This window comes from Homo sapiens, chromosome 5, assembly GCF_000001405.40.
Source record: "Homo sapiens chromosome 5, GRCh38.p14 Primary Assembly".
Taxonomy (NCBI): Eukaryota; Metazoa; Chordata; class Mammalia; order Primates; family Hominidae; genus Homo; species Homo sapiens.
In genome coordinates, this window is record NC_000005.10 from 135,131,211 (window position 1) to 135,144,102 (window position 12,892).

The following is a 12,892-nucleotide window of genomic DNA, read 5'->3' on the forward strand; positions in this document are numbered from 1 at the left end:
AGATAGAGAAAGACAGAGATGGTGGCTCTGTGGTTTGGAAGCTCCTCCCATATGGTGGACATGGAAAGTTGTTTAGTCTGTCTAATATGATGATGATGCCGATTACCATGAGCATCACTGAAGGTACTGTGTGTACAGAGCCTAGCCTGCAGTCTGGGTGTGGGGAGTGCTTAGCTAATAGAAGCTTTGTGATGGTGATGGTAGAAGTCATGCTGACAAAGGACAAATCAGAGTGAGGACAAGGCTCTGGATCAGCCCCCAGAGCACCTGCTCTGCCCAGCCCCTTTGGGGTTGCTGTGTGACCTCCAGCACCCAGCCACATTAGCAAAAGGCCTGCTGTGCTGCAGCTCTCTGTGACCTCTCCGTGGACAGGGTTGGCAGGACATGGTCAGATGATTCTTCTTGTGCCCTCCTGGCCTATCCAAATGGGCAACCATGTCACTGACTTACCTGCCCCTCCAGACATTGACCCAGTCCCCAGCTGCTCTGGCTATTGGTGGACAGGCCGGCCTGAGGCTGGCATGTGGAAGGGAAGATTGCTCTTGGCCTAAGCTGGTGCCTTGAGTGTTAAGACATTCTTGGGACCTGGTGTTTGGCCAGGACTCGCACTCAGGCCCATGGGGCTGATGTCATCGAGTGTGAGTCCTGACACTAGGCATGGGGTGATGAGCGGGAAGGAAGGTCTTGAGAAGCCAGGCAGCCATTGTTGCCTGGCTTATCTGGATTAGGCCCTTCGTGTGGAGGGAAGAAAGGAATCTGCCTTGTCACAACTGGGCACCAGGCTAGAAACACAGTTGGTGTTCCTGGCAATCCCCGGCACTCTCCAAAGCTTATTTGTTGCTTTTCCGAGCCACGTCCAGGTGCTCTCTGTTATGATAACCAGTGGTGACACAGAGTTAGCTTGAAATGGGATAAACAAACAGACTAAAAATAACTGGATTTGGGGTGGCTTGGCACCAAATCTAGCGTGCAGGCTGTCACTGCTCAGCCAAAGGGTGAATATAGGCATCAAAGGCCTCCCACCCCTGGAGCCATGGGGGGAGCTGGGGTTGGGAGTGGCTGAGCCCCTTTTCTCTGGGCCCCACTTCCCACCACCCATGCAGCTATGAGGATGGAGGTGCCAGATGGTGCCTGGAGCCCGGAGGAGGGGTGTGGTGGGCCCGGATGTGAGCGAGGCATTTTATGTCTGTTTGGAGGAAGCTGGGCCAATGTTTGGACATCTTTATGGTTTTGGAAGTTTCTTGGCCTCACCCAGAGAAGCCATGGTTGCATCAGAATTTGAGGTCCTTTCCTCATGGCCCCAGAGGGAGAGAAGAGCAAAGAGAGCAAGTCAGCGCCTTTGAGGAAGGATGGGGAAATGGGACAGCTTTCTAATCCCAGGCTGCTGCTTTGTGGCACCTTGTGCCTCATGAAAGAATTGAGATGGTGTGTTTGGAGGCCAATCCAGGCAAGGGGGAGAGGCTGGAGGACACGAATCTAATATGTGTAGAACTTCCAAGGTAGGGCATTCATGATTGGGTATGCATCACAGCAAAAGACCTGGTCAAAGGCCATGCTCACAGTGGGGAAGAACGGGGAGATACGCTTGGTGTGCGGCTCCACTTACACTCCCATTTCCAAACTGAGTCTTGGCTTCCATCAGAGGCATCAGCACCTGTCATGATCAGGGTGTTCTTTCAGATCATAGGCCTGCCTCCCCATTGACTCCAAGAGCCCATTCAACCAACAAATGTTCTGCCTACCAAATGTCTTGGTTTCCTCCTGGCCATGTGGTAGGATTCTCCTTCTCTGTCACCTTGATGTTAAGTGTGGCCATGTGACTGGTGTGGGCCAACACAGCATGAACAGATACGTGTCACTTCCACTCAGGTCTGAGCTCAGCATCACCTCTCAGAGAGCCTGGTCCTGACCACCCAGTATAAAGCGCTCCCACTCTCATGTCACGTGGTCGCGTTCCCATATTTTGCCTTCATAGCACTGGTGTGTGCGCTTGTTTACTGTCTGTCTCCCCTCTAGACACTCAGCTCTGTGACAGCCAGGACCCCAGTCACCAGGTTCAAAGCCGCACAGGTAGTGTGTCCAGCAGCGCTGCCCAGTGATGGGAGACCCGTAAGCACTTGATGATTACTTGGATTGGAAGGTGTGAGGATGCAGAGAGATTTTATCGCAGTGACGTAAGGGTGGAAACTTTAAAACATACTTGTTCGGTGCTGACAATGGAGTAGGAACTTAATAAATACTTGTTGAGTGAATGAGCTCTGGCAGGGAGGGGGTGATGCCAATTTAGAACGTGGGAGAAGATCACATGCTGCCCATAGGCAGGAGCTGCGGTGCCCCTGCTTTCTCTCTGCCACCAGCTAGCTCTGTAAGTGCAAGGACCAGAAAAGCTACCGTGACTAGGGTGGTGACTGGGACTATCCCCTCCACCCCATCTCAATTTAGCTGGCACGAGGGACCAGAGAGCTGACAGAGGAGGTATGACAGGCTGGACAAGCCTCCCAGGCTGTGAAGCAGGGCCCTGTGACAGTTCTGGTGGGTGAGAGAGATTGAGTGTGTGTGTGTGTGTGTGTGAGTGAATGAATGAAGGAGCAAGTGAATGAATGAATGCTGGCCACCACCACAGCTAGTAAGCTTCACCCCTGGAGGACCCCTGGCTGATCAGGAGCCTTGGAGAAGGGTTAGGGGCCCGGAGCGGTGACTCAGTGGTGCAGAGGTGTGGTGAGCAGGAGGAGGGACAGGGGATCCCAGGCCTGTCCCTGCCCAGCCCCGATCTTGGTTCTCAGAGTCCCCCCACAGCCCTGGGCCTGGCTGCATACCTGCTCTTCCCTTTGCCACGTGGTGACTTGTTCCTCTCACTCAGGTCCACCCCCAATGTGGCTGCCTCTGTGAAGCCACCTTTGACCCCTGGGAGTCGGTGGCTCCCTCCTCTGCTCCCGCAGGGGTTGGTCACTGTATGTGGGAGTGCTTATCTCGCCAACCTGTGTTACCTCCTCACTCATGTCCTCCCCGCCAGACAGTTGGGGCAGGGCCCTTATCTGTCTTCCCTCTGTCTCCTCACTCACCGCCCGACACGTGGCCCCTACCCTGTCAATGATTATGGAGCGATAAGGGACACGGCATCTTCAGGGAGCTGAAGGGCTCTCGGCTGGAAGAGGAAACTGCAGACTGTGTGGCCTCAGGGGCAGGACGCAGGCTGCCTCACGGAAGCTCTATGCAGACCGATGCCAGCTCACGGGGAGGAGGAACCTCTGCCTATCAGAGTGTCCATCCATAGGCCTGGCCACCTTGGGGCCACCTCCCATCTCTCCTCTGTCAGCTCTCTGGTCCCTCGTTCCAGCTAACACACCTCCCATCTCTGGGGGTGTGTTAGCAGGGGTGGCTTGACCCCAGCCGTTCCATTCCAGAAACAAAGGGCAGGTGTAGGTTTTTCCAGTTAGTTGTTAGAGTTTTTTTGGGACCCTGCAGACTGGCGTCTAGAGCAGCTGTGACCTGAGGTGGCTGCCAAAGGGCTCCAGGTGTTTGCCAGATGATAGGGGTGTGGTCTGAGGGTCCAGCCCTGATGGGTGCCTGTGCCCTGACACACGAGGCCTCACCTCATTGAAAATTGGGGCTAGGCAGCTTTGTCAAACTGCCCAGAGCACTGGAGATTGGAGAGGAAGGGTGCCCAACCCACACAGGGTGTGACAGTGCTTGTTCTCTGTCCTCTGCAGCAGGTTGGGCAACCTGGGCAGGGCCATGCCATGCCATGTCGTGGCCCTGCACCCTTTAGAAGATCCACTCTCCCGTGCCCTGGTGGGGTTTCCTCAGGGAAGTGGCCACCCTATTCTCCCCACTGAGCTGGGGGTCCCCCTGGCAAATGGATGACCAGCTGCAGTCCTGCCCCGGCTCTGGGTTTCTGAGTGGTCACTAGGGCAGGAGAGGAAGAGTGTCCCAACACAGCAGGCGGCTGGCACAGGATAGTATCCCTGTGGCTCAGTGCCACCACACGTCCCATGCCCCAGGCTCTGTGAAGGCTGCTGCGCTTGACTCTTGGGACTCAGTTCTGCTGTGGCTTCAGGACAGGCTTCTCCCATCTTGCTGTGCTGCTGTACTGTTGTCCCCTGCCTGATTCACTCTGGGTTAACTGTTGGGTGGCTGCATCCTGACCTGCTACACCCAGCTCAGCCCTTGTCAGCATTGTCAGGCTGGGGCCAGCATTGTTGGTGGCCCCCAAATTCCTGCAAAGCCTTTCCATCTCAACATGCCATGTGCAATGGAATGCTGCTTGCACATGGCCCTTACACGTGCCAGGGTCTACCCACACGCACTGCGACCAGGTGATGCCTGCACCTGCCTGACCTGTGTATGCATGGGGTGCCAATCCCACCTTTAACCCCCTCCCACCAGCCTAGACACCCCTGCCTCCTAAATATGCTCCTTTCTTTCCACCTGTGCACCTTTTACGCTCTCTCCTGGCCTGTTCACAGGTAACTCTTGCTGTGCATGACTTCCTCTGGCAGAGCGACCCTGTGATGTTGATCTAGGATGTCTGCCAAATGAAGGCACAATCGCCATCTTCCCTCCACTGACAGCAGGAGCAGTGCTGCTTTGTCCCCAGGCCCGTCATGCTGCTCAGCCCATGGCCAGACATGGAGTGGAGGGCCAGTCTGTCCACTCAGGGTCAGATGGACCTGCCTGATGCTGCAGGAGATGAGGTACAGATGGGCCGAAGCATCTCTCTTGGGACACACTGCACACTGGTGTGGCTCCTTGGTGACCTTGCTCTACCTCTGTTGCATCAGCTGCTGCATGGGGTTAGTGGGTCTGGCTCACTGCCCTGATTGCCGGGGTGTGGTGAGCTGGAGGAACGTCAGAGCTGGCTATTGAGGTGGATGACACGGTCTTGGCAGAGCGGGAAATGGGTGGGAGGGGGGTGGCGCTCGACTCAACAAGAAAGATGGGCCAGAAGTAATCGAGATTATTGAAAGGGGAGCCAGAAGGGACTTGGCACTGCGACCAGCATATGACGTGGCATGAGTCTCTTGCCCTATCTGGATATTACAGTTGTTCTGGACAAAATGTGGCTTCCTTCCTCGGACCCTGCATCTGGGGTAGGTCTGTTTTGGGGGCTGAGCTGGGTCACACTTGCAGCACCACCTGATTCAAGCTCAGCTCCTTCACTTGTGCAGAGCACCTGCTGTGTGCTGGTCATTGAGCAGGACAGGCATGGGCCTGGCCCTTACAGATCACCAGGGAAGGGACTGGGGATCCTACAGACTCGCCCTGAGCGGAGGCAGGAGGACTTGGTGGCAGTGGTAGAGGTGGGAGGAGTATAATCTACCTCTGGGATAAGCCCCCCAGAAATCATTCCAGATAATGAAGTGGCAGCAGCAAAGCTCTAGGCATGCCATCAGCTCCCATGAGGCATCCCGAGTTTTTGGGTCTTGCAGGCACCTCACAATTCAGTAAGCCTAGTTGTGCTGTGATGCAGGATAGCACCTCATCTACACCATAATAGTACACTATTATAGTAGATATCTGTTCTAGCCATACTGTGCTCACATGCATAAACTCATATGACCCTAATCCTCACTCTGGAGTAGCACCCCTCCCCCCTCCCCCGCCCACAACACTACTTTGGCCCTGGTCTCATTGTCTTCATTATCTCAGATTTAAGTTCATTCATTCTTTCCATGTTTTGTGTGTGTTTCCTCCCTCTAGGATGGAAGCACTGTGGTGGCATGGATCTTGACAATCAGTGTGGTATCTCCTGTGTGCAGAACATGCATGGCACAGGGTAGGAACTCACCAGGTGTTTGTTCAATAATTGAATGAATGAATAAAATGCAAGTTGGACTTTTGTAACAGTCTGGTGAATTAAGTGCTTCTGTTATCCCATGTTCCAGAGCAGGAAAATAGGGCTCAGTGAGATGAAGTGATGGGCTCATGTTAGCTGGTAGGTCCCAGGGCTGGGATTGGCACCCCATGCATACATAGGTCAGGTGGGTGCAGGTATCACCTGGTCGCAGCGCGTGTGGGTAGACCCTGGCACGTGTAAGGGCCGTGTGCGAGCAGCACTCATTTTGTTGCACGTGGCATGTTGAGATGGAAAGGCTTTGCAGGAATTTTGCTTTATAGGCACACAAAGGCCTTTATTACCCATAATGTGGACATGGGTCCAAAGATGATTCAATTCTGCTTTCTACCAAGGGGTTTGTCAGAGGCCCCTGTGGAGGCTGGAGCTCCGGGCCCTGCTCTGAGGAGGCTTGACCCCAGAGAGGAAGAAGAACTGGCTGCCGTCAGGGCCTGGGGTAGCTTGGGATAGGGCAGGATGGGGTGGCAGCGTCCCTGGAGTGAAATGCAGGTTTAAGCAGCCTCAGTGGGAAATGTGACGTTATGTAGCTCATTAAACCCTACAGAAGCAGGGAGGAGAGCTGCTTCTAATTATCAGGATGAAAATTAATGGAATAAAATCTCTAGCCAGGCTGCCCAGTGGTGGAGTAGGCAGGGATTTTCCGTGGCCGGGAGATGTTTGGGGCAGTCATACTGGAAGGAAGGGAGAAAGCCCCTAACTGTTTGCAAATGAGGGGCTGGGGCTCCAGAAGGGGTCCTTGCTAATTCTCACAGCATTTCCCCCTTGACTCAGAATTAGGAGGGAATGAGCCTGAGTGGGAAGCTGGACAAGGCTTGGTTTGCAGAGACTTGAGTCAGGAGATGGCTGCTCTGGTGTCCTCGCCAGCCTCAGGGCTGGAGGGGACATTGGATTTGTCATCCTGCAGAGGTGGATGTGAGCCTTTCAGTTCCTTGAGGCTGCCAGTGAGCTTCAGACCTGGGGAAAAGCTGAGATGGAACTTGAGGGGCTTTTGAGCATTTGCCTGAAAATCTTGCCCTCAGGTGATTCAGAGAAGCTCAGGTGCTGTGTCTGTAAATGGGCAGCCCAAACTTGCCTTGATTCCTGTTTTTTCCATAGGTCCTGAGGACAGGTGGGGTACCTTGGTTGTGCAGATCATAGTGATTGTTTTACCAACCTTCTAGCATTACTACTCCTGATAAGGGTGGCACAGGCCTGGAGCTGAGAGCCGCGGGCTGAATCCTGGCCCTCTAGGTGAATCAGAGCCTGTTGCTTAAATGAAGGAGCAGGTCTGGTTCGTGTCTGCCCTCCTCCCAGCTCAGCCATGCACTGCAGGTCTCATGTTGGAAAATATTGCTCAAATGCTGCCTGGCACCATCTGGCACCATCCAGAGCTCAAGAGAGTGGATCATTTGGCCAGGCAGGAAGTCTGCTCTCAGATGATCTGACCTGGATTAGGATAGTAAATACTCAATACATGTTAATTATTGATAACAACCTAAGAGATGGATACTATATTATCTCTATCTTATTGATAAAGAAAGTCAGGCTCAGAGAGGTGAGGTGACTTGCCCAAAGACATATAGCCTAGAGGCAGTGTACTGTAACTCAGCAGTGTGACTCACTTCCAAGCCCAAGTACCGCATTCTGTTGCCTTCTTGATGGGTGAAGCAGCCATCTGAGCCTAGAGTTCCTTTTAGGACCCTCAAGCTTTCCTTGCAGCATATCTGGACTTCTCCCATCATTGTCAGGAGATGGAGAGGATAGCTTCATTTGGCCAGTGAAGAAACTAAAAGGCTGAGTGGCTTGTAGGGCTCACATTGTGCATGAATTGGCACTTGTCTATAGAAAATGGTGCCAGGACAATGGGTGTATTTTGGTTGAAGTAGTTGGAGCCCTTGGATGCTAGTGGTTCATTACAGGGGCCATTTCTGAGTTCCCTTGGTCTTGGGAAACTGGTTTTCCTGTGCCTGGAACCCAAGAAGACATCTGTGGTTCCCTGGGCTAGGAGCTCCCTTGGTGGAGGCTGCCTCATGGATGGGCCACCCATGGTGTTTGGTGGCAGGGTCTCATGGGTCAATGCACACAGCCCAGGACAGAGTGAACAGTGGGATGTGCAGGGCTCGACTGGCCAAGCTGAACTGTTTTCTTGGGTTGTGTTATATTTATTTCCACTAATCTACTCCTCTTGCCTGTTTATACAACACAGAGATCTAATAACATGTATCTGAGGCCAGAGTAAATGAGGAACTTTTTGCAAAGAAGCATAAAAGGAAAGAGATCTTGGAATACCTAGCTAATCTCAGTTGCTGTCTCTGCTCTGAAGCCCTGCCTTTGAAAGCTCTATTTCTCCTCCCATCCTCTGCGAAAGCCAGATGAGACTTCTTGACATTAAGCAAATGCTGGTATACTGACTTTGGTGTGGGGTTTGTACATGTGCCTGTTGAGAGCTGGATCCTTCCCGTGGGTGGATGCTGGCATGGTGGCTCTTCCATCTAAGGATCCATCTGGAAAAGTGGCCGATTTCATCACTTACGTGCCAGGACCTCAGATGCCGAGGCAGGGGAATGCTGCAATCTAAACATTTACATTCTAAAAAATGGGAAATCATCTGCTTCGATATAAATTAGCCAGGGCCTGACGGGTTTATTACATCCTGGAATGCTTTCATGAGGCTTTCAGAGGGGTCCATGGTGCAGGCGCAGGTCTCCAGCTGGGATTGCCTGTGGCATGCTCCTGGGGGGACCCACTTGGAAAACACAGGCAGGGGGCCAACTCTTCCTCAACTTCCCATGGGCTTGTAATGGATTAGAGTGTGAAATGGGAACAAGGACATACAATGCGGGACCCTAGGACAGTGAAGCACCCTGAATGACGAGCTTCTTGAAGCTGATGGGGAGAGGTCGGTCAGGGAAGAGAGGTGGGAGGAGCCAGGTGCACAGGCCCAATCAGAGGCTGTGGATGGAAAGTGGAACAGGAGAAATATGCTCTGGGATTTCACAATAACAGGGTATGTGATATGACTCATTGAGTGGGAAGAGGGCAAAGGAGTGTAGCAAGAAATGTTGAGGAGGGAAGAGTCGTACATCCTCTGGAGGAGTTTTCAGACAAGACTTGGTGTGAGCCCCTGGGGTCAGGGGCTGGATTTGAACTCTGCTGGGTCCCCTAGAGTGGACTGAGCCACCCTCTCTGCAAAGTCCCTAGGACTGGGCCGATGTTCCAAGGAAAGCTGAGTCCTACGCTCAGGAAGTTTGAGATCTCAGTGAATAGGTAGGAAAAATACACAAACATAAACATACATGCCTAACTGTAACAAGTTGTGAACTCATTTATTTTCCCTCCCTTTGTCGTATCTTATATGCACTCACATTTTTCTGTAGGTTTACACAGATATATGTAGAACAGATGCTGAATAACTGATTTTGGAGGAATTTGATTTGATGCTAATGATGAGTGATCTGGGATATCAGCTATTTTTCACTTGTTTGGAGCAAGAACCCTGCTTTGCACAAGGGGTATTATTTTGGTTGATTTTATTCAGAGCAGTGGTTTTCAAACTAGCATGCCTTAGAACCACCTGCAGGGCCTGTTAAAGAAGATCACTGGCCCCCACCCACCCTTGGAGTTTCTGCTTCATTAGGTCTCGGGTGGGTCCTGAAAATTTGCATTTCTAACAAGTCCCAGGTGACTCTGTGTTCCAGGGATCGCACTTGGAGGACAACTGATCAAGAAAGAGAGAAGTGCATGGGCTTTGGTGGGAATCCTTTACACAACTTTGCTGGGTCTGAGAACTTGTGATTCATGCCTTTCAGAGGATGAAAGAGGATTCACGATATCCACGGAACCACTTCCTTGTTTTGAGAAGGAAGCTGGTGCCTCCTATAATATGGGCAGAGCCGGCTTGCTGCCACATGAAGCAGTGCCTGGCTTTGTGGATTTGCAGATTCATTCAGCAGGCATCTGCCAGCATCCACTCTGGGTCCAGCCCTGGGTATGACGTGTCTTCAGCATTGGGGAAGACGCTCAGGCGGAATGGTTCCAGCATCAGTGACTCTAACAAGGGTGGGGGTAGGGTACTTCCTTGTGCCCAGCTGGGCTGCCTGCTGTGGGGGTATGGGGCAGAGACATGACACAGTACTTGGCGTGGGGATGCTGGCTGTCCTCTGTGCCCTCCCCACCTGCTGATCCCTGGCTCCACCTTGGTCTCCAGGAACAGCTCTGTACCCCTCTGGGAAGTCAGATGTTTCCCTTAAAGCTTGTGGGTCCCAGCAGACTCCCCACCCTGAATGTCTTGGCTATCAGACCTCAATCTGTCCCCTACAAACAAGTCCTCCTGCCCTCTGACCTCTGCTCTTGACAACAAACCATGTGTCACAGCATCTGTTTTGCATACATTTGCCACCATTTTCACTGAAGAGTAAACACAGAGCTGGACTTTGGGGACTTGTGGGCGGTTCTTCCTTGAAAATAGGCCAAGCCCAGAGCTTAGAATAGGACAAGGAGGGGCCTACTTGGAGGATCACTGAAGGGGTGCCAGAAGGTGAGTCAGGCCACCTGGGTTCCTGTTACATGATTCAGGCAGGCCCCTCCTTCTCTCTGGCCTCAGTTTCCTCCTCTGTCACATGAGGTGTGATGATGCCTGTCCTGCCCCTTTCCTGTCACGATGGGGAGGCTCCAGTGGGACATGCCCTCAATTTCTCCCAAATGTGCGTGAATTGTTGAGGGCACCTGGGATGCTGAGGGTGTCAGGCGAGCAGGTGGCTCTGAGGTTTGGGGGTGAGGGTGTGGAAGCCTCAGGGAGAGGCAGGGACTAGCTCTGAAGTTTAACATGGCTCTGAGAGATACACTGAGCACCTAGGTTGAAACCTGCAAACTCAGTAAGCCTAGACGGCAGGCCACATTTCTTGACCTCTCTGAGCATCAGCCTCGCCCGGAAAAAGATAAACAATAGTGCCTAGGTCTTGGGGTGACGTCATGTTTACCGGGCACTCGCTATGAGCCAGGCCCTGTATTTGGAGTTCAGTTAGGGGTGAGGATGACGACAGGGCTTATTGGGTGGCTTCAGGTATCAGCTGCAGGAGGCAGGTGGTGCCTTTAGATGAGAGACCTGAACTTCGGCACTCCCAATCATGCCATGCTTCCTACTCAGTCCTGGCTGGCCCCGTGGCTAGTGGGTAGAAGTCAGTAAAAACCCACTGAATGTTTATTAGGCTAAGACTGTGAGGAGGAAAGTTAGGCTCCTCTGGTGCCCTAGTAGTTTTTGATTTTTGTCAAAGGAGTACATATTCATAGCCCAGCAGCAATAAGTTTCTCATGAGAAGCAGCAGCCCCGCTGGGCCCATGGCCCTCCCTGCCTGGTTTCTGCTTTCTATCGGTAACTTTTTAATCCTTTTTTAAATTAAGTTTTTTTTAAAATCCTTTTAGTGTTTTTGATGATTACCATATTTCTTAAAAAGATTACTTATCTCACCTTTTTCTTGATTTTTAAATTTTAGTTATTATCTATTGACTTTCAATTATAGAGGACAGGGAGTAAGTTTTTCATACCAGTTCTCTTCTGACCAAATAGATACCCACACACTCCCCCTTCCCCAAAGCACAGCTGCCTCCAGGCCTCACTGTGCAAATACCCACGGTGGAGCTGTGTAGTGTACTGGAATCACATTTTCATTTTCCTCAAAGATGTTTTGTTTTCCTTGGAATTAGGTGCATAGTATCTGATTTTGTCATTTGCTTAGTTTTCTGTTATTTATTTATCCTCCCATTCTGGCTAAACTGGAGATGTTTTCTGAAGATGTTCAAACACATCAGGTAGTTGTCTCCTTTTTCCCTAGTTGGGAGTTGTTCTCTGGGCCCCGCTACTCATCTGAGTCCTCCCTTCGCCATCATCTGGGGAACCCTGTTGAATCGCCCATTTCCTGAAATCTGTGGCTTTCTCTCTCCATTTACTCCCTCACTTTCAAGACGTGCATCCTCCAGTGTCTTCCAAAGAAAGGGTCCATGGAAGGCAAAATCTTTGAGATCTTGCATGTTTGAAAATCTGTTTTACTTTTTTTTTTCTTTTTTAATGAGATGGGACCTCGCTCTGTCATCCAGGCTGGAGTGCATTAGTGTGATCATAGCTCACTGCAGCCTCGATCTCCTGAGCTCAAGCCATCCTCCTACCTCAGCTTCCTAAGTAGCTGGGACTGTAGGCTTACACCACCACATCCAGCTAATTAAAGTTTTTTTTCATTGAGATGGGGTCTTGCTAGGTTGCCCAGGCTGATCTCAAACTCCTGGCCTTAAGTTATCCTCCTGCTTTGGCCTTCCAAAGCGCTGGGATTCCAACATGAGGCACCATGCCCAGCCTGTTATACTTTTATACTTGATTAATAGTTTGGCTGAATGTAAAGTCCTGTGTTGAAATTACTTTCACTTAGAAACTGGTCTTCCAGCCTCCTGCATGACTGTTGAGAAGTTGCATGCTTCTCTGTGTCCCAGTCTTTGGAACGCAATAATTTCTTTTTTTTAATTTTTACTTTAGGTTCTGGGATACATGTGCAGAATGTGCAGGTTTGTTATGTAGGAAGCACGGCATACATGTGCCATGGTGGTTTGCTGCACCTATCAACCTGTCATCTAGGTTTTAAGCCCCACATGCATTAGGTATTTCTCCTGATGCTCTGCCACCCCTTGCCCCCCACCCCTGATAGGCCCTGGTGTGTGATGTTCCCCTCCCTGTGTCCATGTGTTCCATTGTTCAACTCCCACTTATGAATGAGAACGTGCAGTGTTTTGTTTTCTGTTCCTGTGTTAGTTTGCTGATAACGATGGCTTCCAGCTTCATCCCTGCAAAGGACACGAACTCATCCTTTTTTATGGCTGCGTAGTATTTCATGGTATATATGTGCCACATTTTCTTTATCCAGTCTATCATTGATGGGCATTTGGGTTGGTTCCAAGTCTTTGCTATTGTGACTTGTGCTGCAATAAACATACATGTGCATGTGTCTTTATAGTAGAATGATTTATAATCCTTTGGGTATATACCCAGTAATGGGATTGCTGGGTCAAATGGCA

General features: G+C 51.2%; 2 long non-coding RNA genes across 2 annotated transcripts in view, besides 2 other annotated features; both read left to right on the forward strand.

Annotated features, from left to right (window-relative positions):
• PITX1-AS1 (PITX1 antisense RNA 1) overlaps positions 1–12,892 on the forward strand; it is a 311,407-nt gene that overhangs the window by 97,937 nt on the left and 200,578 nt on the right. The window lies entirely within an intron of this gene.
• Positions 3,152–5,844, forward strand: LOC124901072 (uncharacterized). Its single transcript, XR_007058944.1, has 2 exons — positions 3,152–5,090; positions 5,701–5,844. It is a non-coding gene; the product is annotated as an uncharacterized LOC124901072 (long non-coding RNA).
• Positions 3,242–4,124: an enhancer, noted in NCBI's record as "H3K4me1 hESC enhancer chr5:134470142-134471024 (GRCh37/hg19 assembly coordinates)". NCBI's record gives its function as "activates a minimal SCP1, AML or CMV promoter by ChIP-STARR-seq in primed H9 embryonic stem cells {active_cell/tissue: H9 hESC(primed)}" and the evidence as "EXISTENCE:reporter gene assay evidence [ECO:0000049][PMID:30033119]".
• Positions 4,125–5,007: an enhancer, noted in NCBI's record as "H3K4me1 hESC enhancer chr5:134471025-134471907 (GRCh37/hg19 assembly coordinates)". NCBI's record gives its function as "activates a minimal SCP1, AML or CMV promoter by ChIP-STARR-seq in primed H9 embryonic stem cells {active_cell/tissue: H9 hESC(primed)}" and the evidence as "EXISTENCE:reporter gene assay evidence [ECO:0000049][PMID:30033119]".